The sequence below is a fragment of the Homo sapiens genome, chromosome 6, assembly GCF_000001405.40.
Source record: "Homo sapiens chromosome 6, GRCh38.p14 Primary Assembly".
In the NCBI taxonomy this organism is placed as follows: domain Eukaryota; kingdom Metazoa; phylum Chordata; class Mammalia; order Primates; family Hominidae; genus Homo; species Homo sapiens.
The window spans coordinates 114,104,972-114,132,684 of NC_000006.12; the positions used below are offsets into that span (position 1 = coordinate 114,104,972).

General features: G+C 37.1%; 1 protein-coding gene and 1 long non-coding RNA gene across 12 annotated transcripts in view; one reads left to right on the plus strand and one right to left on the minus strand.

The window, feature by feature from the left end:
* HDAC2-AS2 (HDAC2 and HS3ST5 antisense RNA 2) overlaps nucleotides 1-27,713 on the plus strand; it is a 371,029-nt gene that overhangs the window by 135,271 nt on the left and 208,045 nt on the right. Inside the window, exon 6 of the long non-coding RNA NR_125845.1 lies at nucleotides 11,147-11,209. This is a non-coding gene — a long non-coding RNA (HDAC2 and HS3ST5 antisense RNA 2). The remainder of the gene's footprint in view (nucleotides 1-11,146; nucleotides 11,210-27,713) is intronic.
* HS3ST5 (heparan sulfate-glucosamine 3-sulfotransferase 5) overlaps nucleotides 1-27,713 on the minus strand; it is a 287,428-nt gene that overhangs the window by 49,376 nt on the left and 210,339 nt on the right. The window lies entirely within an intron of this gene.

A 27,713-nucleotide genomic window follows, 5' to 3' on the forward strand; every position in this document is an offset into this window, starting at 1 on the left:
AGGAAAAAAAAAAGTTTGTGCTAATGACCTGGTGATTTTTTTTTTCCTATGATCTCCCAGTAAAGTGTAAACTACTCTCATAGCTGTCAATAGAACCACTGAGTAACCAGTGCCTACCTTATTTGAGGCGGTTTTAAGGTCAAAGGAATAATTATGAATGAACACTTTTGCTTGCTAGAGGAAAAATACATTAGGAAAAAGAAGGCAGCAGCTCAAATGTCTATGGACAGCTTCAGGAGCGCTGAAAAGTGATATATAATCCCTCCAAATCCTCCTAAATTCTAAGCCAAAGAAATGTCAGTAAAATTTTAGCCAAAGCATGTTTCAGCTAGTATGCTACTTTAGGTAACCACACAGTAGAGTAGCACTGTTAGGAATTATGTGTACAGGGAGTGGGATTTTTGACCTCTTAAGGAGCAAGTAATTAGTTAATCGGTGCTGTTTTATATGATTGGCAGGATAATTTTACCATTTTATCTCAAGGAAGAAGTTTATATTTGTTGTATCTTTGCTACTGTGATATAATATTGATTATATTTTTTATTTATTTGATACCAAATATTTATTTGATCGGGAAATGTAACCACAGTAACATTTTCTGCCTGTGGAGAAATATTGTTGTCACCTTAGAAACAATTTTCAAGAATTAAATTTGGTAAAAAGTGGGGACTTCTTATTCTTGTGGTCACTAATGAGTAGATTTTCCTTAGGATAAGTGCACTATAAATTTGCTATAATAACTAACTGATCAAATTTATAAACTGCTGTTTTCTGTGTCAATAAACGTTTCTACATAGCTCTGTGCACATCTCCTGCCATAACTGGGCATAACTCTTGTTATACAATGATTAAATAGAGCATTTTGGGGTAATATTCTTTTTGTCTCACAGAACTACCTTAGATCAAATTAACATTGCATATGATACAAGTTTATGAAATAGATTGCACACATGTTCTTTTACAAATGGATTTGACTCCTTGTGGCATTAGTGAAATTTACATTGATTAACCAGTAAGCTGTAATGTTGTTTTCGATTTGGGCTCAACAAATCAGTTTTACTTAATGCTCCAAGTGTTCTTTACTTTGGGGTATTTAGGGTAAGTAGATATTATATTGCCTGTGGGAAAACACTACACTTGTAATTAAGCTAAGGAGGTAATTTCATGAAAAGAAGAAGATAATAGGGCAAAGTTTTCAAGATAATGAGATTCCCAGAAATGCACGAACTATCCCTACTTGAATGAAATAAATTACATTATCATCCATCATATGACTAATCTAAGAGTAGCCATCTCTCTGTTAAAATAGACCTATCGAATAAAATGATAAAATACTGTCACTTAGGAAAAGGATAACAAATTAAGAAATACTATTAACAAAAGAACGCTGTGTAGAGTTAGCATTCCATAAATGTTCCTTGATTTGAATTGAACAAAAAAGACCTACAAAAAAGAAATTCTGCCTTTCCCACTTACAATATATTCTATTTGTACTTTTCTGTAAATAACAGTACAGAGTAAAAACTACATATAATGGGCACATATCCATACTTTAAAAAATACATCTATAACAACTTTTATGCAGTACATGAAAATAAGGTATTGATTTGTGGCAACTATAGTAAAATGACTGTCTAGAAGTTGGGAGAATATTTAACATGAAGTTAAAACTTTCCTTTTGAAAAAACTTCCTTGCTGGTTTAGAGCTGAAGCTTATACCATTACTGAAATCACTTATTCAAGGTAATTATGAAATGCAAGGTACAATGTATAAAAGTTGAAAATCAAGACAAGGTTCTGAGAACACATACAATCATCTATTCCTAGAAAATAATTAACAAGGAAAAACTACCTGAATATTAGTTCTATTGGAGAAAAGTTACCAGGTAAGATATAAGTTCTATAAGATTGTTATGTATTTTATCACATCTCAGACTTTGTTTCTGATGCTAAAATTAGAAGACCAACAAATGGTATATTTAAAAAAATTCATTAAGCCCATCTCAGAAACTGAACAAAAAGACTTGGGTTGGAAATGATACTGAGAAGTAATGGGAAGCAAACATAGATTCTATTCTTCCCCAAAGCTCAAATTACTTACTAAAATTGAGTAAGAGATTAAGAAGGCATCAGCATATTTTCCTCGCTGTTTTTTCCCCTTCCCAAAAGTTTTATATTCTAACTTTTTGAGAAGAAAAATAGAAAAACATTTAAAAAATAATTCATCATGAACAAGTGGAGTTTATCCCAAGGATGGTTTTACATTTGAAAATCAAATAGTGTAACTTATCAGAGTAACAGACTAAAAAAGAAAAACCATATGATCACCTTAGTAGATGCTAAAAAAGCATCTGAGAAAATCCAACGTCCATTTCTGATGAAAACTCTCAGCAAATGAGAAATTGAAGGGAATTTCCTTGATCTGATAGAGATCATCACCAAAAAACCTGCAGCTAACATCATACTTAATAAGACTTAATGCTTTCCTCCTAAAATCAGGAAGAAGACAACGTCTGTTCTTACCACTTCTACTCAACATTGTTTTGAAAGTTCCAGCCAGTGCGATGGGCAAGAAAAAGAAAAGACAGATTGGATAGGGAGTGGTAAAACTGTCTTTGTTTGCAGATGACATGATTACATAGAAAGACTGATGGAATTTATAAAAATGCTACTAGAATAAGTTAGTGAGGTTGCAGAATACAAGTTGAGCATATAAACTCAGCTGTATTTCTATATACTAGCAGTGATCAATATGAATTTCAATGTCATTGCAGTAACATAAATGTGTGAAGTATTTAGGAAATAAATTTGACAAAGAATATGCAAAACCTGTACACTGATAATTAAAAAGCATTATCGAGAGAAATTAAAGATGCATGTATAAATGGAGCAGTATAACTTGTTTATGGGTTAGAAAACACAATATTGCCAAGCTGTCATTTCTCCTTATATTAATTTATAGATTCAGTGTAATTCTACTCAATATTCCAGTAGGCTTTTTTGGGTAGAAATTGATAGGAGTTCTAAAATTCATAGGGAAATTCACATGGGAAGGCAGATATAGGTATACAGATATAAACAGATGTGTGTGCGTGTGTGCATGTAAATATAGATATATGAGAAGGTAGATACAGTCTGGGTCCAGTCAAGAGAGGGAATCTGTACAGTAATTAAAACAGAGAAAATATAAAGAATTACTAACTATAACAAGGGATTGGAGCAACCAGGGGTAAAGAGAACTCTACAGGAATAGCAGCTATAAGGAGCAGCTACGCTTTTGAATGCTGAGGCAGAGCACCCGAGAAAAAGTCCCACTCCTCGCCCCTCTGCCACCGCCTCAATAAGGTTGAAATACAGAACTAGACAGCAAAGGAACTGGCTGCAGCACTGGTGTAAGTTGCTTGAAATCCACTTTCTAGGGTGCCAGAGGAGCTGTTCATAGAACGTGTCTCATCAGAGGCACTCACCTATGAAAATGCCCGAGGACGTATTGCAGGGAGCTTGTGGCCACCTGGTGATGCCGGCCCCTAGAAGAGCCTGTCCAGTGCACACACTGGAACCCAGAAGGGAAACCCTTTCCTCTGGTAATATCTCTCCGGCGCCCTCTACCGACAAAGCTCAACATGCTGACAGCTCCAAAGGGAAAATATTTAAAGGACCTAGGTCCATTTTCATGGAGCAGGCAAAAAATGCATTTGGAGCTGAGAAGTAATAAAACATTAACTGGCACAAATAGATAACAAAGAGGCATAAGGACATTTTAGGGGGAAAGGGTGATGGATATGTTCATTATCTTGACTGTAGTGACAGGTATATACATATGTCAAAACTTATCAAATTGTACAATTAAAATATGTGCCATTTATTATATGTCAAGTCTACCTTAATAAAGCTGTTAAAAATGTAACTGGTCAAGCACAGTGGCTCACTCCTGTAATCTCAGCACTTTGGGAGACTGAGGCTGGTGGATGGCTTGAGCTCAGGAGTTGGAGACCAGCCTGGGCAACATGGCAAAACCCCATCTCTACCAAAAATACAAAAGTTAGCCAGATGTGGTGGCAGGCGCTTGTAGTCCAAGCTACTCAGGAGGCTGAGCCAGGAGGACTGCTTAAGCCTGGGAGGTCAAGGCTGCAGTGACCTGTGTTTGTGCCACTGCACTCCAGCCTGGGTGACAAAGTGAAACCCTGTCTCAAGAAAAAAAAAAATGTATCTGAAAGTCTTCCACTACTCTCCTAACAGAAGCAACCCTTGCACTGATTAAAGGTTTAAGCGGAAGGTGTTTGTATCTATATGTGTGTGTGTATATATATATATATGCATTTATGTATTATTTTTTCATACCAAGAGCAAAATTGCTGACCATTGAGGACTCTTCCTCAGGGTGAAATCCCCTAGGGGCTCTACCTTCAGATCCACAGCTCAGGAGCCCAGTTTGGCTGGGGAAGCTCACCTCCATCTGCCTGTTCAGTGGGACCAAGAATTTAAAAACCTTCCTTGCCAAAATCCAGTAGCTCTGGAGCCAAGGCTGGACTTCCCCGGGGCCAGTCTTAACAGATACTTGGTGTTCATGAGCTCCAGCTGTCTGGCTGCAGCACAGCACTCCTTCCCTTCCTCTCTGGCCATGTCTTGCTTCCTGGGTAATGGATATCCCTGGACCCTCATCGCTCTCCTTTCTGGGAGGACCTGGTCCATGGCTGCTGTTCATGAGAGGTGTAGATAATACACCATGTTACCACAGTGTGTGCTACCTTTGCAGTCTTAGAGCGTACTGACTGCCTTCCCTTTCTCACTCCCCAGTCTTCTTTATGTCAAATAGCAATTCTGCCTTAATTTAATATTTATTTATTGCCTACTATATGCAAGCATTGTGTTAGCTATGAAGGCTACAACAAGGGACAGTGCAGACATAGTCTTTGCCTTCATGGTGCTTACCTTTTAGGAGAAACTGCAGAAAACATAAACAAAAATCCCAACTTAGCTGGACTTATATAATGGTCAAATGGACATAATATAATGATTTCTCTCTCAACATGCCATGTCATTCTTCAAACCAGAATTACTGTAAGCTCCTCAAGGGCAGGGACCCAGAAACGATGGACTACAGTGATGCCATTTACATATACACACATTTACATACAAAATATTCACCTCTTGGGATGACTTTTTGATAGATGAGGGCTTATTAGAGAATTGGTTTGATTTTCCCTTAGCCTACTTCAAATTAATCTGTCAAAAAGTAATTAAAATTGTTGTTGTTGATGAAATATGTAACTGTGGCCTAGAGTCTATACATTATTTTATTTCCCTGCCACTGTCACCACTGCCATCACAAAATGAATTTCATACTAGATGTTTATTAAAAGGCAGCTAGAGTGTGCTGGAGGTTGGGTGGTGAGTTGAGACATGCATTAATTATCCATTAAATCAATCAATGAAACATGCTTTTGAGCATGACTCTGTGCCCAGGACCAGGCTGGTTCTGTAGGGATGAGAAGAGCCATGTAAGAATTCAGTTTTGTCCTTACAAACCTCAAATTGTTAAATGTGAAAACTAGCCAGTAGAGGCCATTTGCTTTGGAATGGTGGTACTAAACCCAAGGCCAAAAGAAATCAGAAATGAATAGTGTTTGGGTCTTACAGTCAAAGGACTTTCTGTGGAAGAGCTAGGCTTTATAGGATATTTAGAAAATTGAAAAGTTGAAAGAAGGGTTTGGGGAGAGTGGATATAAGAGAGTAAATGAAGGGCATGATGTGGGATGAGACAGGTGAGGCTATTAAAAGTGTCATGGAATTAATCACATGAATTTTTAAAAACTGCAACTTGTTTTTGCATATTCTATAATGTAGTGGCTTCAATTAGTTTGACAAAATATTTAAAATATGTATAGTGTACTATTTTCTAACAATTAAACAACCAAATTTCATTCTCTTCAAAAAGCATAGGGCAATTTCCTATTTTCTAAGAATATCACTGTGAAAATTACATTTAATTAATTCTTGACCTTGGAATACATCATGCACCATTTAATCTATCCTCTAGTTTTATTTGGATTTCATATCCAACTCATATTCACCCCCAAAGTATAGAGAATATGCAAACCTGACCTCTTATTTTTAGTAAACTATCGTTTTTTACTGCTTTGGAAAAAAGTATATGCATGGGCCTGGAAGAAAATGTTATTTTAATAATCTGACATAGAAACTATAAACTTCTCAGTCCATTTTGTACTGGTTTCAATGGAGCATAACTAATTCAATGCTTTCTGGGCATAGTACACTAGAGAGAAATCTTTCAATGAACAGTGCAATGAGATGGCACATATTTGTATTGCAAAATACATCTTGAAACAGTTTTAAGTTCAAAATAGGAACATCCTTAGCAAATTAAATGCTAAATGTTCCCTAGGTGCCATAAAGACATCACAGATAACTCTACCACACTTTAGTGGAAACATTTGCATATCATTTTCTAAGCCATTTAGTAGTCCCCAAACAGAATGTCCTATCTTCCTCACACAGAGCATGGGTCTCCTGCCTAGGTCTTTTGGCCTCTGCCTCCCTGGGTGACAGAACTCCCTCTCTATGCACTGCACTCCCTACTTCTCACATAACTAGTGCTGGGGAATAACTTCCTCTCCATAGAGGTCTAGGGGCCAGAAACAGAATGTGAAGCTGGGTTTACTTTTCAGGAATCAATAAACTGTGCATATTCTATTAAAAAATAAGCACCCTAGAACCTTACCATAACCTTGGGGCCAATGCTAGGTATTTGACTTATTTTAGAGGAAAATGACTTGTTACTCATTTTCTTGGGTTTTTCAGTTTCAAAACTCATAAAACCTTGCCATCTCCAACAACTTTACATCTCTGAAATCCTATTTTGAAACCTCCTGCCTCAACCGTCACGTCCTATTCATCCAGTTCACTGATTCCAGTACTCCACTCCAGAAATTTTCTGACCTCCTTGAGACCCATCACTCCTTTACATGACTAGTGTGTTTCCTCCTTGCCGTCCTTCTCATAACCTCACTTTCTCCTTGGCTTGGAGTCCATGGTTCCGCTGTATAATTATCCCTCATAAACACTGTCACTCTTTTCCATTCTCTTCATTTGGCAAAACCTCAACCATGGTGAGCTGGGCAGAATAATGGCTACCTAAAGATGCCACGAGCTAATCCCTGGATGTGTGAATATGTCAGATTATATGGCGAAGGGGAATTAAAGTTGCAGATGGAATGAAGGTTGGTAATAGCTGGCATTGAGATGGAGAGATTGTCCTGCATTATCCAGGTGGGCCCAGTGTAATCTCATGGGAGGCAGAGGAGGGAGAAGCAGAGGTATGGCAGCCATTGCTGGCATTGAAGATGCAAGGGATCAACAAAGCCAAGAGATGAGCTCCAGAAGCTGGAAAAGGCAAAGAAATGGATTCTTCCTTAGTGCCTCCAGAAGGAATGCAGCCCTGCTGACTTCTTGAATTTAGCCCAGTAATATCCAGTTTGGACTTCTGACCTGTAGCAAGGTAATCAATTTGTGTTCCCTAAGCCACTAAGTCTGAGTATGTTATAAAAGCAATAGAAAACTAATGCCCACGGTTAAATTCAACTATCTACTTACTCTCTGCCAGCATCTACAGAGTTGATTATTGCAAAAAGCATACCACCATGCTAGTTGACCTCACTTTAAATATGGCTACATGTCAAAATTGGCCTCTTGACTTTTCCAGACTATCTTACCACACTTCTCCTTCTCCTCCAAGATAATTATTTTACAACTTTTCTTTCCTCAAATCTCCATCACTGCCTTTCCTCAATTAACTCTTAGCTTATGCTTCTTACTTTACCGAAAAAACAATGATAAATAATTGGAAAATACCACATGTTCCTGCCATTTTCCTAATGTTTCTATTGGTGCACAGGTGTTCTGTCTTCCACATGTTATAGTAGTAGATGAACTGTCCATGAGCCAATTGAAAGCCCATCTCTTCCATTGAGTCCTGGATCCCACCCCTCTTGACATCTCAGGGGCCTCCCTAATGGCAGTAACACTTAGTAGCTCAGGCAAAATATGCTGAAGTCTTAATTCCACTTTCCCCCTCAAATGCCATATCCAAAGGCACTGGTAATTCCTGTTGTCTCTACACCATAGATGCCCTGAGTCCAGTTACTTCTGTCATCTAGAGATGAGACTGCTACAGCTTGGTCCAGTTCTTCTTCATCTCTCACCTGGATGGATGCAATAACCTTTCTATCTTCACTCTCCACTGTTCTATGGCCTTAGTAATTTTTTCTAAAGTGTAGATTAAACTATTTCTTCACCCATAATCTTCAAAATTATCTCCACTGCAACCAGTAAAAAATCTAAACTCTAGCATGCGCTACGAAAATATATGTAACTGGACACCTGTTTACTCCAGCCTTATTACAACTTTTCCCTTCATTTACTCCAGTCACACTGGCCCCCTTTCTCTCCCTCACATTAAACAGGCTTGTTTCCACCCAGGAGAGTTGTATTTGCTATTCCTTCTGCTTGGAATGATCTTCCTCTCCTTCAATGGATGGCTGCCTTCTTTCCATTGATGTTTCAATTCGAGTGTCACCTCTTCTAAGAAGACTTCATTAATGCTAGCCAAGCAAGCCTAAAGTTGATCTATTAAATTACTCATAGCGTATATCAGTATCCAAACTCTCACTGATCCATTAGCTAAAACACCATCCATTTATTATCTGCCTGCCCCCACCAGAATGCCTGGCATATAGTGTTTCAATAATTTTTTTAATGACTACTCTTACGCTAGTCTATAAGTTAACACTCCAGAGTTAACTTGGTTGAAGAAAGATTTGGGCAAGATAACTGTCAAAGTCTTTTTTTTTTATGTGATCATTTACTTGTCCTTGGAAGTAGTATGAAAGTAGGATGCCTGTGTATCATTACATTGTTATCATTAGAAATCAGGCTGGCCAGCTGCAGTACCTACCCATCTTTCTTTGTTTCTACTTTGATTCTGTGACAGGATTAGTGACAGTGATAATTACCTCAAATGAATAGTTTATACCTAACTGAGAGTGCTTATATTTTAATTTTTGTTCTGCCATTACAATGACAAGTTGTGGGCTTTCTCTGCATTTGTTACACATGCATTGCTTTGGTTTCTGAGACTAAAATGGAATAACCTGGGTGGTGGAAACAATTTATAGTTCTTTAAACCACTATAGTGCCAAACATGTAGCAGGTTCTCTATGACTAGTTTGACTCACTGATGTATTTTCTATGGAGTCACAAATATTTCTTGCCTCACTGAGGCCTTCCTTTCCTCCATGCCTAGCAATGCACTCACCTTCTACTTTATCCATTGTGCTGTTACTTTTAAGTGTTAGCAGTAAGTGGAGGAATAATCCCTCCCATTTCTGATTTACAGAATAGGATGTTACTAAAGTTTTCTTGATGGTAATGACATAAGAACTCTCAGAACTTTTCAACAGAGTCTTAGCTACTGAAGATCCAATAGGATCATATAATTATGTGATCTCTTACAGCATGATTTGCAAAAACAGGAATGCTGGGAGGCCTCAGTCATTGGCAATATAGAGTCACACATTTTTCCTACTTACAAAACTGCTCTTTAAAATCTGATTATGTGCAGATATTAGGTCTATTTTGTTATTATTACACATATGTTTTTATGATTGGCACAATATTTATGTTTTGATTTTTCCTTTCTTGACTAAATTAATCATAGTATAATATCTAAATGAAGCAATATATATTACTTAGAGGACAAAAATATTTAAAGAAAATGCTGCAGTTGAAACTGCAAGTTACTTTTTAAAAAAATCGTATTGATCAGTTGCTTTGCTGTAATTTAGACTCAGTCATAGGAAAATGCACTCTTTTTGTGTTAAAAGGTTATGTGAACACAAAGGTTATGTGATTTCATTAATTCACTCAGCAAATCACCTTTGATATTATCTTCATAAGCTTTATAAATGCAAGGACAGTGTTCATATGGTTCAGTATTTTTTCTGCAGCGACCAGAGTCCTGGTCCCGAAATCAAGTGCATAAATGCTATGTACAATGTGGAATCTCAGTAATTCCCAGTTGGCAAATTATGAGGATAATAATAAAACCTATATGAGGATATATTTTATTTTTTATGCCATCCCATATATTTCTGTCTCACATGAAAAAGGCATGAAAGTAACACATGAATTTTAGAGTGGTTGATGGTGGTTGAAGGGTATGTTCATTTTCCTGAAGATAATTTTTTTTAATTCTGATTTTCTAAGAAAACTATAAAAGTCTCTCATAGACACATTTACAAACAAGAAACAATGGCATTTAGTTGAATTTTGGGGAATAAGTTTTTGCAGCAAGTATGTCTAGCATGAAGTTAGCAGTCTCAGAACCTTTTGGCTAAATTACATGAGTCTCTTTCTCTTAAAAAGCTAACCAAGTCTCTGTTAGCTTGGTCTAGTCCTGCTATAAAGAAAAGAATAATGTCACATATCTGTCCTATCATTATAACAATGACATAGTGTTAACCTCTTATGGAAGGGGAAAGAAGCATAGATGCCAGATTGAATCCCACTGGCCCGAAAATCTTGCTCTTTCCCTTATACACAATCCCTCCACAAATGCAAAAAACATGGCTAACTTGCTGTGATCCTTCCCCACATTATTTCAAATGTCCAGAAAGACACTAAATAAAATCAGAAGTTGAACTATTTGAAGGAAGTTCTCTTTCTTTTTATTTTTTGTTTGAAATCCTGTTTAGCATCCAAGCAGGCTTCTATGATTGACGGTGGTAAATGACAGATAGAGTTCAATACAGTTCTGTGGTGAAGGGTAAGTATTTTAGTGTCTCTGTGGCCTGATCCAAAGGCTATTCCTAGCAGTTTGTCATTTAGTACAGAGAAGGTTAGTGAGGTCATGTTGATATATGATCTTTTATGCCCTGAACTTATCACTGCAGTTGAACTGGCCCTATAATTCTCATTAACAATGAGCAGTTATTTTTTGATACTAAAGCATAAAATAAAACAATTTTTTTTGCTCTATTCTCCAAACTACAATATAAAGAAAAGGCACTGCTTGAAGTTTAAAGTATTCCACCAGAGAAATTTAGGGTATCTTTATTTTTACCCACAGGAGTAAAAAGACTTTGGCGTTCTCAGAAGAAAACCAAATGAGATCACACGAATGAGACTGCTGGTAAGAACTGTCTAAATGTTAACATCACCATGATAAATATCTGTTTTTAATGGAGAATGAGATTACCTTTAAAGATATTCTAGCATCTCAGCATATATTCCAAAAGGAATACAATTCTCTAAAGGAAAAAAATGCCAAAGAGATGGGAAGGCAATGTGGGATGGGAGAAAGAAATGCCAGCCTAAGAATTAGGAGACCCCAGTTCTAGTTTGCCTAGGTTATGGGCTAAATGATGTGCAGCAAAGACCATAACCTCTCTTTACCTGGTCTTTTCTTGCTTGGATTTTACTAACAGCCTGAAGTGTTTTTGAGTCAGCTGACAAACTTACTAGGTCTCCAAATCCATTTACCCCACAGACCTTTCTATTTTTATAAGTTTCAGCAGTATCTCCAAGAGCATTAAGAATAAAGTTAAATTTCTTAGCAGGCCATAGATATCTTTCAAGGTTTAACCCTTGCTTACCTTTTACTTTGCCCTTCGCCTTCCACTTCCCACCTCCTTCCCCATCCTCTTGCCATCCAGAACTAATGGAACTTCTGCCCTAACAGCTAGATCTCCATTTTCCCCCACCACTGACCTAACTCTTACTTAATGAGTTTAAGTAATGGCTTACTTCACCTTAATTGCTGCCCTTCCTTTTGGGTTTGGTGCCATCCTTTGTTACATTTTAGCACTTACTGTATTATAATAATCTGTTTACTTATTTGTTCTCCCCCTCCCTTCATCCATTAGACTAACGCTTCTTGGCAAAGGGTAGTAACTGAATAATGAATGCATGAAAATCAACTCTCCTTATTCCTATTATTATAGGGGAAGGGGAGATGGAAGTTGAGTCATTGGCTAATATCATCATCAAGAAATCAAGTCATCATTTTTACCAGGAATTCAAAATTCCTCCCCCTCCCCATTCCGGCTGAATCCTCTGGTGGAAAATAACTAATTAATTAACTGAATTAATTTTAATTCATTAGAATACTAAAATTAATGTTGAAGAAATAGCTCATTCCTTTTACTTTCTAGGCAAAATATCTTGAATTTGACTGCAAATAATAAGTTCCTTTGGGCTAATTTTTCATTCAACCCTGTCTTGGCTCCATGTGATCATGGTTTATATCTGGGCATCACTTATCTCTGCTAGAAAACACAGAGGTAGCCTGGAATAATGGAACAAAATATTTCTCCACGCAAAATCAGAAAATATGGGTTTGAATTTGTCATTTCTTAGTGTGGTGACATTGGGCAACATATGGAATCTTTTGAACCTCAGTCTTCTCTTCTGTAAATTAGGGTAATACCCAGCTTACAAAGTTATGGCAAGTCTCAGGTAAAATGATCCATGATGTGAAAGCACTTCAAAAGAGTTAAATGCTAAACAAGTATGCTATTACTCTAACCCTAAACCCAAACTGTCAGTATTGTTTATAAATTGGCCATCCAATCTAACTTCTTCCTAGAGATACTATACCAGGCAAAAAAGACCAATTTGAATTTTATCTCCTCTGCCAAGTAAAAAGAAACCAGAAAAATGCCTAAAGGAGGAAGATCAGTGCATCAAGCAGGCCAGATATAATCCACAACGTAGATTACTGACTTAGGCTAATTGGGAATTCAGAAATAGACATCTCTGCCCTGTATAACTACCCCTTCCCTCAAATATTCACTCCCTATCCAGACATCTACCTCTAGGAGTGGCACTGTGGGCAACGTAGGGAATTCAGAGTGCAACAAATGTCTCTATAGTGTCTCATATTCTGAAAATGCCTTTGCAATCAATTCTATATATTATGCTTCACAAGGACCTAGAGAGGTATGTTAATATTATCCTTGGATCAGAAAAAGAAGACACCTAGCAATTAAGTGATTTGCCTCACATCATAAAGGGAATTAATGCCGACACCAACATTCAAAGAGGCCTTCTTTGCATAGCAAGGAGAACTCCTTTATTTCTCCAGTTGTAAATTATCCACATTATGACCAGATTTACCAGTCCTCAAGGCAGATGACCTTGAGGTACCATTGAGATTCTGAGGGGGCATGTATGGACATCTATACAATTATTGCCAGCTTAGCCACTTCCACATAAGTCACAGCTAGGTATAATTTTCAGCGGAAAAAAAATGGCATATAGAAAGGAGCCACTGATCTATATATAGTCAGGCAGGTAATACAAAGAAGAGACACAAGGGCAAATCTGTGTTTTGTCTTTAAGAGTCTGATGTTCTTTCTTGGAGACCAGTGATTCTCAAACACTTTATGTATTTCTTAAGGATGGGAGTTAACTGCATTATAAACAATCTATATATAAGAAAGCAATTATATGGGGTTATTACCATTATTTACCATTATCTTGACTACCTATTCTCATTTCTCTACTCAAGAATATATAGTGAACAAATAAAGTAAATTTGAAAGTTTAAAACATGGAAGTAAATATGAGCTCCCACAGGTGGGACAGGCCTCATGACCAAAATGAATTGATAGAAAGGTATATGTCTCAGTCATTAATCTCTTCACAAGATGTTTACAGTTCTTCTTTCTGACAGGTGGTAGGAGAGTATTTCTCCATCCCCTTTAGAAGACAGGAGTAGAATAGGACTATTCTGACCAATAAAACATGAGCAGAAATGGCACATGTTACCTCTAGGTGAGAGCTTTAACAGTTGGTGTGAAATGTGGGTCTCTTTCTCTCTGCCACCATGTCTGGTGTCTGGGAATGCTCCAGATAGTGGCTGTTCTGTTTGTCTGGTCCTGGACTAAGACCAAGAGGAACACAGGAGTACCCAAGCCATGATGGATATGTAGCATGAGAAAGAGAAAAACATATATTATAAACCACTTAGATTGCAGGGTTGTTTGTAATCAAAGCATAACATGTACTGTCCCTATGAGACAATTCACCTGATTCAAAAAGAACGAAGGCACTAAAGGAGTAAGAATAGCAAAGCATAAGAAGAGGCACACAGTGAATGGATGCCCACAAACCTAAAGGGAAAAGTAGAATGCAAAGTGCCTGAGGGACGATAAACAAGACAGTAGAGAAGTTATTTCATAGGGGTGAGTCAGCCAAAGTCTTTCCTTACACAGATGGCAACACTGGCATGGTGGTTGGACCACCATTGGGAGACTCATCCATTTGATAGATGACAGAACTTTTGTTCTGATAAAATGGCAGAATCTGATAAATTCTTGACTTCCAGAAAATAATGTGACCTTTCTTTTAAAACCAACAATGTGGTCTTTCAAAAGTTGGGGAGGCAGTGAGGGGAACTGCAAATTGAAATTAAACTGCCTCAATAAGGAAGAACTGTGTAATGTTAAGGACAACATGAAAAACCTAGGAGATTAAGTAGCAACCAACATAGGGAGAGCACTGCACACAGAATTGCACTCTAGCTTTTAGAGAAGCGAATATGAAAGATTTAGAGAAGAGATATTTGTGATATCCTAATTATAAATTTTAAAAGGGTTTGGAACTCTGGCAGGATGGGAAGATTTAGCATATTCAATTACAATAATGTCACAAATAATCCTGATTAGGAGCCCTCAATCTTTGCTGGATACTACATGCTTCACCAATTCATTCAACAAATGTTTATCGAGTAACTACTGGGAGTTAGAAATTATGTCAAAATGTTGGGGTTCAAAGAGGACATCGGTCCTGCCCTCAGGAAATTTACAGTAAAGCAAGAGAGATAAACAATAAAGAAGTAATCCCAGCACTTTGGGAGGCCAAGGTGGGTGGATCTCAAGGTCAGGAGTTCGAGACCGGCCTGGCCAACGTGATGAAACCCCGTCTCTACCAAAAATACAAAAATTACCCAGGTGTGGTGACATGTGCCTGTAATCCCAGCTACTCAGGAGGCTGAGGCAGGAGAATCACTTGAACCTGGGAGGCAGAGGTTGTAGTGAGCCGAGATCGTGCCATTGCACTCTAGCCTGGGTGATAGAGCGAGATGCTGTCTCAAACAAAACAAAACAAAACAAAACAAAAAACAACAAAAAAAACCCCAAATAAACAATGAACAGACAAGCCCCCAGTAGCATTTATTAAATATTTAGTATTCATTAGTGATTATGACTGTACCTTTACCTGATTTTTTTCCCCTAACTATAAGCCTCTAGATAGGAGTAAACAGGAGAAACTGAGGTACAGAGAAATGAAGTAATTTAGCCCTACATTTATACAGTAATTGTCCAAACTATGACAGAAAGTCAATCTTCTATGATTTCAATGTCTGTATTCTTTCAACCATACTTTGATGCCTTTCATATCTAACTTTGAGATTACATATACTGTTTTTACATTTTAAAAATGTTTGTGTGTGTGTGTGTAAAATGAACAACAGATTTATCTCACACACAAAAAATACTTCTTTATGTGATTATTTTGGTCATTTTTTTCAGTTCAATTGGAAAATAGTTATAGAAAATCAGGGGACATTAATGATTTATAGGCTATGATTTGAGAACCTTTCTAGTAAGTCACATGGAAGATATAAAGTTGCTTTTCAGCAGAGTCTAAAAATACTTAACAGAGAAAAAAAGGATACTCTTAGAGAAAAATAACAAAATCCTCTCTAAAAATACAAGCAGCGATCAAATTGGTTTTACAAATGTATAGGTGAGGGTAGAAATTTCTTATTTTTAAGAGGATTTTGTTCTTTTTCTTTAGGGCTTGAATTCCACGAATTAAAAAGGGAGGTCTTACATATTTCTTTTTTCAGAAGTCCCAGTAATGTACACCTATAATTGGAGGAATTTTGGCATCTGAGAATATAACTCAGCATTTATTATAAGCCAAACAGCTAAATTGATTTTAGCATTCTGGAAGAATAATTGCACCTTTGGTGCTGAATTGCTTCCCTATGAGCATTGAGCCAAATATTAATGTACATTTGAAAGGAAACAAAAAACTTTCAAACTCTAATGTACCTCAGGCTTATAAATCGGAATCCAGTCACTTTAAATTAAGTTGGATTTCTTGAAGCAAAAGTACTCTTATTATTTTTGTATCACTGTTCTGACCCACAGTTTATACATCACATAACAGTGTTCTAAGCTTTTCAAATACAATAGAAATCTCCACGTGGGAGGTTTCTGTGATATTGCTCACTCCACCTAACACAAGCAACCACCACAGTGTCAACTCAACTCCTAGGACGTCCAAAAGACAGGTGATATTTATTCCACTCAGAGTTCTTTCTGTAATGCAGTGCATCAAGGACAAATTTACTGCCTGTTAATTCTTTTACATATTTTTTGCATTAAAGAAAAATTTAAATTTCTTAATAAGCAAAAAAAGGAAAAATGTATAATCTAATTACCTAACAAAAAAATTGGTAATATCTTGGTTTGTGACTTTCCAAACCCTTTTCTTTGTAGATAAATAAAATTTTCTTTTTATAAAAAATACAATACTAGTATTTATTACCTTATTTTTTCACTTAATCACATGTTAAAAGAATATTTACAAATAATTTAACATAGTTGTATAGTATTAGTGCATGGCTTCCCATATTTTTAAAAAAACAACCACTGTATTTGAATATTTAAGTTGTCTCCAATATTTTGTTATTATCACATCATTCCTTAGCATATCTGCCATAAAACAAATTGAATGTTTATTTTTATTTATTTATCTGTATATTTGTTTATTTTTAGCAAAAGTTAAAAATAACATTTTGGAGGTGGGAATACAATTTTGGGTGATAAGGAGTTAATGAATATTAGATCTTAGTTCTGACAGCGTGTCCTACCTTCTTCCTGCTGGAAGTCCTGTCCCAGGCCCCACCTGGGTGCTAGATGCCAGGCGCTGCTACCTTCTATGCCCTTGCTTCGCTCCTTGTCGAGACTGGGGCTCTTCCCTGACCCAGTCCAGACATCACCCCCTGTCCCTGGGGATGAACCTGTCTTGCATAATACTTGAAGGGAAGGTCCAGCTGGGATTGTCTGTCACTCTGCTTAGCCAGCCTTGCTAAGCTGACAGTTTCCAGAATGTGTGATGAGCCCTTAGAGTCATGCTTTGGTACCTGGAGCCCTCAGGAGCCACTCTGCAGGATACCCATATCATCCTTTGAGGCTGACCTTTGGGGGCTGTGCGTAAACATTTCATCATTCACATAAGCATTCATTAATTCACCTATCACACAATTTAGTGAGATCCTACTTTTCAGTAGATTTTGTCTGGGTCTGGAGACACAAGTGTGAATAACATAAACTCTACCCTCATGGGGTGGGGCTAAGTTTCAGAACTCCCAGGGAATTCTGAGCCAAGAGAGAAGGTATTTATGGCATCCAGTTAGAAAATCTCTGGAATTCTAAATTTTCAACAGGGTGGTAGATTACATTTAGTTTGGAACAATTGTGGCATTAGGTATTTTTATTTCAATGATTTTCCCTCTTACATTCATAGCAATCCTTGTTAATTCAAGATTGGAAGAGAATAATTCACCTAGGATGTGAAACCTACCCTTCTGTTAACATATGTTACAAATACACTGCAGTGTGAAGAACCAACTATGCCTCCACCACGTCCACCTTCCCTACCTTGGAGGAGTGTGTGTGTTATAGGTAAAGTGTGAGGACAGAAGCAAGGAACACAGGGATGACTTGTAGGTCATAACATTATTGTTTTAAACAAGATTGTAACATTTGATACTCTGAACTTCCAATCTGCAGTGATATTTATTGTTGGATACTGAATCATTAAGCCAGTGAAAACTTTTCTCTTATTTCAATGTCAAGTGTATATACAGATAGTTTTTGTTTGTTTGTTTGTTTGTTTGTTTGAGACGGAGTTTCACTCTTGTTGCCTAGGCTGGAGTGCAATGGTGCAATCTCAGCTCACCGCAAACTCCACCTCCTGGGTTCAAGCGATTCTCCTGCCTCAGCCTTTCCGAGTAGCTGGGATTACAGGCATGCGCCACCGCACCGGGCTAATTTTGTATTTTTAGTAGAGACGGGGTTTCTCCATGTTGGTCAGGCTGGTCTAAAACTCCCAACCTCAGGTGATCTGCCCACCTTGACCTCCCAAAGTGCTGGGATTACAGGCGTGAGCCATCGCGCCCAGCCATACAGATTGTTTTTACACTGCCCAGGCTCAACACTCAAAGTTGGAAGAGACCTCAAATATCTTCTAGCCCAAGACATTCATTGTAGAAATGAGAAAACTAAGCCAACACTAAATCGCTTGAGGTTTTCCCACTTCAGAATTTGAATGTCCAAAAGCAATTAAGAGATGTCTGACTAAAAACTGAACAAAGTATATACCCAAGAGGATAATTCTTTAAAAAGTATCAAGAAAATGAAAATAAAAATGAATAATTGTCCAATTAAATAAAATCCCAACTTTTAAGCCACACATTCAAGGTCCATTTTTTGTCTTTCCTAACATAAGGTCTCCTTTCCAATCAAGTCACTTTTTGAATGCAAGCATATAGATCCACAATCCCATTCAGCATGCTAATCCATGACTTGACCTGCTTCATGCCTAGTTCAGAAATTCAGCCTGCCTTCCAGACAAGTGGGTCCTATAGCTATGAATCTTTGGCTAACATGTACTCTGTATGGAACACATACTCACTTGCAAGTATAAATGTTACTTTGGAAATTTAATAATTCTTTGCATATGTTGGGGTATTTGGTAACTCCAAGATAATTTTTTTTTCTTCCAAGATTTTACAACCCTGTGAACTTCTCAGGATGTACTACGGAGGAGAATTCACTGTTGCTCCATGTATTTCTTTTTTCAAGAATTATATAAGGATACCAGCTCTTTCACTGATCTTTACCATGATCATTATCACATCCACTTTCTAAGGCTGAGGTCAAAGCTGGCAGTGCCCTTAACATCTCCCTTCCACCAAGAGGTATCTTGCCATAAAGATCTTCCTCCCGTGGTTTCAAGTTGCCTCTGGAATGCTTCTGAACTCCCTAGCTTTGATTTTTCCCATTGCAGTCCCTGCCTTTCTGTCCAGCTCTTGCTGTGACTGACAACCACCATGGACCTGATACCTTAGACCCCTGTTCTTCCTGATGTTGCACTAAATGACTGGGCTGACAACCCCATACAATCCCAGCTCCTGAGTCCCAACCCAGGTCAGACCTGCCCTGGACCTCAGAGGGAATATGGAACCCTGGAATGCAGGGTGTGCCAAGGATGCATTTTGGCCAGACTGAAACTCCCAAGGCAGCTTATCAATTTCTTTCATTTCTCTCAGTCTATAGCTTCTTATTCTACAGGGGCTTCAACTAACCACACCCATTCCCTGGCGCCCAACCACATATGTGACTAAAATAATACGTGAGGTTTTTGTGTTTTGTTTTTATTTTTGCCTATATCAAACAGACATTTAGGTGAATACATTTTGGAAATATCCTAGTTTATATTAATACTTTTCCATTACTATGGTTCAGTTTTTTGGTAAGCAGCTCTGTCCAGGATTAGCTCTTTTTTTTTTTTTTTAATCAAATGGGACCAGCTAATGAAAATAAACCTTGATAACCAGAGGAAAAAAAATACACAAAGGATTTAACATTATTATCCTGCTTTCTTGGTCCATGAGACAAAGTAACTGAAATCTCTCTTTTAGATCGTATTATTAACAATCAGCTATCGATTTTCAGGTTTACATTGTTTTGGGTCATTTGTTATATTTCTCTCCAGAAAACTGCTTGATGGTAATAAAGAAAATATTCTATAAAATGAGCAGTAAGATGCAATGTTTCAAAGCTTGATCCATGGGGTGAGTCTAGTTGTGTGGCATAAGCAATTTGCCTAGGTGGCTACTTTTGCTGGAAATCTCTTAAGAAAAGCAGCCAGGATATAAGTTTATATATCTTGGGTTGTCATTAAACTCAGTCTGGGGAAAGCAAATAAAATATCATTGATTTTTTCTCTGGAAGATGTGATTTTCCACTGAAATATGTAAAATAAAATATGTTCAATAAATTAAATGATTTTTTTTAAATACAAAACACTTCTGAAGTAGAAATATTTTTAGAAAGAATTACAATTTGAGCTTTCTAGCATCACATATCAAGAGCAATCTAACATATGCCTTTCAATTAGGAAAAGCATATACAACTTAAAAACTTTTATGTTTTTCAGTAGAAATTTCCTTACCAAGGCTTAAAATTCAAAAGGTACATAGTAAAGGTCACTTAAAAATGTTTGAATATTCTGAGAAAATTATTTGCAAAATGTAGGGCAATATATCAAAAATAGTTGTAAATATATAAAACTATTTTGGTTCAGCAAAAGAGTCATTGAATTCTAGTAAACTAGTTTTCTAAATTTTTATCTTTTTTATGAAGGTTCTTAAATATTCAGAAGGATCAAAAGGCACTCTATTTCCGGCATCATCTACATCAAAAGCAATTCTTAAGAAATTGGTAGTTAGGTAGAGTTTTACTCCTATAATGGAGCCTTATATCACATATTCCTATTTAAGGCACTAAGACAACAAACAGCATAACTGGGACCCTGAGTTGAACTCCACCTGATTAATAGATACCCACTGTGCAGGGAGAGTACTTAGTTGATGCAAAGCTGAAATCATCGCACAGTGTCTCAAATATATCAACTTGATGATTACCTGACTAGCCTTTCCTGCTGACTTCTTGTCAACACGTGATAGCCCATTTGGCATTGTTTGACTCTGCTCTAAAATGCAGAAATAGGCAAATTATCCAGGCTCTCTTTTGAAGTGAAATACATGCAGCATGGAAGCTGACAGGCAGTATTACAGGGAACTAGGAAACAAAACCCTCAGAGACCGCTCAGAAAAATACCTATAGGAGGCCATTGAGACAACAAAGCTCTTGAGGTAAAATTCTATCTAAGAAGCTTTAATCAAAGAGCAGCGTGAATCTTATATTCTTGTTCTTTCTTCACCACGATTAATATCATCAGTTCCTTAGGGCGCTCAGTAAGAAACAACATTTCAAAAATACTCCCTGGATAGACCAAGAAAAAAGTGCCAAATACACATTCTACGCAAGCAAAGAATTCATTGTAGAGGGAGATGTTTTTAAAAAGAGTGAAAATAAAAAAACAGAGAGGACTTTATAACTTTTTTTTATAGCTAGTCATTCATAAATAGTAATTCAAGCCAGCTCCAGACACACTTATACACGAAGTCCAACTTGACTCCTTTTCCCAGCCATTTGCCTCAAGGTGTCCCAACCTTTCATCTCCCCTGTTCAGCATCTTATTGGAAAAAAGTCTGGTAAGAGGTGGTATGAAAAGCACTATCTATACACATATGCAGATTTGAGATTAAGAAACAGGATCCTCCAGCTATGTGCAGTGTAATTTTGAAGAAATTACTTAAGCATTCTTGGGACTGTTTATTCATTTGTTACATGGGGATAATAATGCTGACCTCAAAAGATTATTTTGAGAATGAAGTGAGGTATCTAATGTATGTAAGAGCAGGTTCAATAAGTGGCTGTTGTTTTTATTGCTATAAACTGATTCCCCCTGGGTGAATTTGCTGTCACTGCAACTCATCTGTAGAGTATTTCCATTTTAAAGGGGTTTCTAGAGGATTGGAGAACTCTCAGGACCAAAAGATGTCAATTTACTTCAGGCATTTCAGGCACCCTGCTGGGCTGGTGGGTGAGTTAATTTCTGTCATGGGAGCCATCCTTGTACCTTTCAAACAGATGCACAGGAAGCCATGAGCAGTGAAACTGGATCAGAAGAATTAGGTTCAAATGATGGTTTTACCACTTGCCAACTGTGCGACCCTTAAGCACATTACTACTTAATCCTTCATGGTCTAGGCTTTCTCATAGGTAAGGTGGGGATAATGATATATAAGAGGTCATTATAAGATGTTGATAAGAGGGTTATATGACACAAAGCATAAAATGACATCTTTTAGTCCTGCGAGTTCTCCAATCCTCTAGAAACCTCTTTAAAATAGAAATACCCTCATGCCTGTAACCCCAGCATTTTGGGAAGCCGAGGTGGGCTGATCATTTGAGGTCAGGAGTTCGAGACTAGCCTGGCCAACATGGTGAAACCCCATCTCTATTAAAAACAAAAACAAAAAACAAATTCCTCCGTTATTGGAAGAAAATTCTACTTAATTACCAATTTCTTAGGAATTGCCTTTGATGTAGATGATGCTGGAAATAGGCATGAAAATGAGTACTTGAGTACTGTCAATGGTCAGTGCTATACAACTGTAAGTTATTACCATGATCCATTCCTTGCCCTTGTCATGGAACATGCCTCAAGAGTGATACAAATTTCTTACCACTGAGAAACAAATAGTAACCTAACTGGTCAAGAATCAACCAGAGAAGGAAAGAATACACACATATTTAACCCAAAACAATTTTGATTCCAAGTTTGGGCATTTCAGCATTCATATGGCTAGCAGAGTTTGAGAACTATCAAAATTACCTGGGCAAATAACCACAGATACAAGCCATAAAAGGGGTGAATCTTAAAGCACTATGCCTACTGAAAGAAGCCAGGCATACAAGTGTCCATCAAGAGATGAATTAATCAACAAAATGTAATCTATACATACAAATGAAATATTCACTCAGCCTTAAAAAAGAAGGAAATTCTGACACATGCTACAACATGGATGAATCTTGAATACATTATGCTAAGTGAAATCATTCAGTCAAAAAGGACAAATATATATATATATATAGAGAGAGAGAGAGAGAGACTTATATATAGAGAGAGAGAGACATATGTATAGAGAAACTTATTCATATATATGGAGAAATTTATATATATATAAAATAAATATATATGTGTGCATATTTATAGCCTGCTTCCTCTAATACAACCATACAGCTGCCTGAAAAAGGAAAAAGTAAAAGACAATCACTTGAGATTCTCTATGAAAACGTGGATTTTCAGACTATACCCTGAACTCACTAAATCAGCATCTCTTGAACAAAGACCTGAGCCTCTATAGTTTTAAAGAACTCCTCCAGATAATTCTGATATACACCTCTGGTTAACCACTGAAAAGTTTCTGTGATCACATCTGAATCTACTTAAATAACTGACATTTTAAGAATTTTTAACTTTCAATTTTGTATGCTGCGTTTTTGTTCCATGTTCTGATTATTTTATGTAAATACAATTACTTTGTGTAAATAATAACCTTTTTTAAAGGTGGCAAAATTGCACCAAAAAAAAGTGAGGCAGAGGAACATAGTGCAGCCATGTAAATATTTAGAACTTCGGTCATTATTTATGTAACTAATGTTGATTGCCTGTCTACATGTCAGGCACTTTTCCAAGGCCTGGGGATATACGCAGGGATGAGCAAGCCAAAGTTCCTGCCTTCACGAATCTTACACACTAGTAGAAACGATCTCAGAGAAAAATTAATGATGTGTAAGCAGGTTTTCATTAAAAAATAAACACTACTCAATAGGCACACATTAGTCTAAGAGATTTAAAAAAGTAAAACAAATCAAAACAAAATAAACCTGTAGATTTTACAACTTGTATTTTCATCTTGTAATTTAATTGAGAGTACTGAACCAGCTTAGGAGCATGCCAAGTGATTAAGACAACTGCTGAGAGTAAAAGGTACAGAAAAAGAGAGTAAGCAATGAGCTCCAGTCCAGTGTGAATGTCAATGAATAAATCTGGTTCCTTATAGCTCTCAGTGTTGCTCTTTGAACCCTTAGTTGTTAAAAATATTAGGTAGACACACATATTTTGCAGTGAAGAAAAACTGCTGCTAAGGCTTGTCATTGTAGAAAAAGCTGCTGATAAATTCTCTTCATCTTTCTGTAATGCACAAGTCAAACTCCAGGAAAAGAAAAAGCCAAGTTTCTGGATTGTTTATTTGTCCATTTATCATACATTTATTAAACAGAGACTGTAATAGTATCTACCTCATAGATGTTGTGAGTGAGAAGTGAGAATATAAATCCTTTAGCACAATGCTTGGTACATAATGAGCTCTTAGTAAATGTTAATTAACATCATTGGTATATTGGTCTCATCACTGGCCAGGCATCTTCCTTCCCAGGAGCTGGAGATGCAAAGACAATTGAGACACACACCTGCAACAAGAACCTTTTTTTTTTTTTTTTTTTTTTGAGACGGAGTCTTGCTCTGTTGCCCAGGCTGCAGTGCAGTGGCACAATCTTGGCTCACTGCAAGCTCCGCCTCCTGGGTTCACACCATTCTCCTGCCTGGGCCTCCAGAGTAGCTGGGACTACAGGTGCCCACCACCACACCCAGCTAATTTTTTGTATTTTTAGTAGAGACAGGGTTTCATCGTGTTAGCCAGGATGGTCTCGATCTCCTGACCTCGTGATCCGCCTGCCTTGGCCTCCCAAAGTGCTGGGATTACAGGTGTGAGCCACCGCGCCCAGCCAAGAATCTTAATATAACATCTAGCAGAGGGTGGGATGCCAAACAAATGAAGCATTATGCTTGCTATTGTTAGGAGAGCTCAGTAACATCACCGAAAATTCTCTGGGGTGGAGAGAAGAGAGAAAGGAAGGTTAGGTGAGCTATTAAGTAGAAGGTTTTGCTAGTATTTTTTATGTAATTGCAATCGTGCAAAGATACCTTCAGAGAAAATGTTTTCTGCCACCTTTGTGAAAAGTAGTATGATAATGTTGACTTCAAAGATTTTGTATAAAACTCAAACATATAGGATAATTCTTACAGATATTAAAGGTTCATATTATTAGATTTGATGTTTAGATCTGTGATAAAGCTGGTTTTAAAGAATGTGATATTTTGGGATAAAGAGGAGAGTCAGACAAGTTTCAGCTGTAAACAATATTAGAAATCACGTAGTCTACACCTTCATCTAGGTAAGAAAATTGAGGCGCACATGGGGTAAATGAAAATACAAACAAAGGTTCCATCTCAATGAAACGAAGTATATAGATAACAAGCCACATCTATTGGTTCTGTGTTGTCCAGTATGGTAGCCACTAGCCATATTTGGCTATTTAAATTTAAAGTAATCACAATTAAATAAGAATTTTAAAATTAATTCCGTGGTTAAACTAACAACCTTCAACTGTTCAATGTGACCAGCACCTCCCTTATCAAGCACCACATATATAGCACATTTTCATCATCCTAAAACATTCTATTGAGTTGCACTGTGTTAGTTTTACACAATGAGAGAGAAAAGTAACTTTCAGTCACTACTGAAAGCATTTCACAATGAATAAAAAGCTTGTTTAATGTTGTTATCGAATTTTTCAAATGTACTTCTAAAGTTACCTATGCAATTGCTAGTTTATAGAAAAATCTGGGGTGGGAGATGGTGGCTCATGCCTGTAATCCCAGTGCTTTGGGAGGCCAAGGCAGGAGTATTGCTTGAGGCCAGGAGTTTGAGATCAGCCTGGGAAATACAGACCCTGTTGTTACAATTTTTTTTTCTTTTTGAGACGGAGTCTTGCTCTGTTGCCCAGGCTGGAGTACAGTGGCGCAATCTCGGCTCACTGCAAGCTCCGCCTCCTGGGTTCACACCATTCTCCTGCCTCAGCCTCCTGAGTAGCTGGGACTACAGGCGCCTGCCACCACACCTGGCTAATTTTTTGTATTCTTAGTAGAGACGGGGTTTCACCGTGTTAGCCAGGATAGTCTCGATCTCCTGACCATGTGATCCGCCCACCTTGGCCTCCCAAAGTGCTGGGATTACAGGTGTGAGCCACCGTGCCCAGCCATATTACAAAAAAAATTTTAAAATTAGCTGAGCATGGTGGTGCACCCTTGTAGTCCTAGCTACTCAGGAGGTTGAGGCAGGGAGGTTTGCTTAAATCCAGGAACTCAAGGCTGCAGTGAACTATGATCATGCCACTGCACTCCAGCCTGGGCAACAAAGCAAGATCCTGTCTCTAAAAAATAAATAAATAGAAAAATCTAACTTTGCACTCAAATGTTTCACATTAAAAGTCAGGCAAGCATCATCACTGAATGCCTAACTTTGCAGATGCATCAAAGTTGCATGAGTAATTTTTGGAAATGGAGGTGGAACCATTTTAATGTTCCAATTGTCATACATTTCAGGAGCAATCTAATGCAAATATCTACTACAGATTATCAAAAGGAAAAAAAAAGGAGGTAAGTGAAATTTAAGTAGATCATATTTCAGGAGAGAATTCATAAAGTAGAATACAAGGGAGGAAATGTGGGTTTTATTGCTTTCTTAAAATGTTATAAAAGTAAACTTTTAAAAAGTGACTTTTCCTATAAATTTAGGAAGTAAAAAACTGCAAAGTATTTCCTCCTTTTGACAATAGTTTTTCACAGTGTAAAAATACATAGAATATTAGATCTTAAAAGATGTCTTGTAAAAGAATATGCCATATAGAGAAAAAAGTGTCCTTAAACTTCTTAGGGAACATGGTGTTATATCATGATTAAAAAGTTGGAGAAGGGGGACAATTTGAAATTTAAAAAAATTTCTTAAAATACTTCTTTCAGGAAACTGAATTTTGAAACTATCTATTGTAGACTTTGCTCTTGGGCCTAAGAAGTCAGAGACCTACTTGGTATCTTTATCTGATTACGTTTCTTTTTATGTAAAAATAAAAAATCCACAAATTTTACTTCTGTGAAATCATTATTTACTATTGTTTCTGTACCTCTCTGTCTGATTAGTAACATTCATTATCAGTGGTCACAATAAGCCTTGCTTGTAACCATGTGGGCGTTTAATATTCCAATGTGCCCTTTCACTGGTGCCAAGGGAGTGATTGTGGTATATGCTTCCATTTGGAAATTCCTCTCTCATTATCATTTAATATGTTTTTCCTTCAATTTAATTTTTCAATATTTTACCTTATAAATCTTTTGAATTGTTATCTTATTTGCACCCTAAATTTTAATTTGTTTTTTGCATATTAATGATTCCCTTTTTCAATATTCTCATAGCTTATATCATAGTTGAGAGGTTCTCAAACACAAACTGGTGCCAAAAGTGACAAAATGAGAAAGATAAGTATTGTGCAATGATCATATCTGTGCATGGTATGGTATAGACAGCTGATTTGTAATCAGTACACTTGCATGATTTTATGAATTTCCAGTAAAACTTTGCCAAAGGAAACCTTCATTTTATTGCTTGTTCCCACAATAAATTAGAGCTTATCAGCAAATGCGATTTTGTTTTCAGACAACCAATGCATCAATTTTTGATATAAATTTATGCATAATTTCCTATAAAGTTTGTCATGTCTTATCACGCCATATAAATGTTGGGAATGAGTAAAGCTCACCCTCTTGTTTGCATACCATTTGGCTGGCCAAGGTAGTCAGAAAGAGAGCTATTCAAAATTCAGCCAAATACCAGCAGGGCAGGCATTTTCCAGAAATGTGCTCCTGGTCACAAATAGCATTTTCCGTACTGTTTACCTATAATCTAAGAGCAACAGCAAACAGAACAGCGTTATGGCCTGAAGTGATGGAGATTGCCTGGTCCAAGTGAAACAAAGGTTTTGGCCAGATATAAGGGGGGAAAGGGCAGGCTTATAAATAGT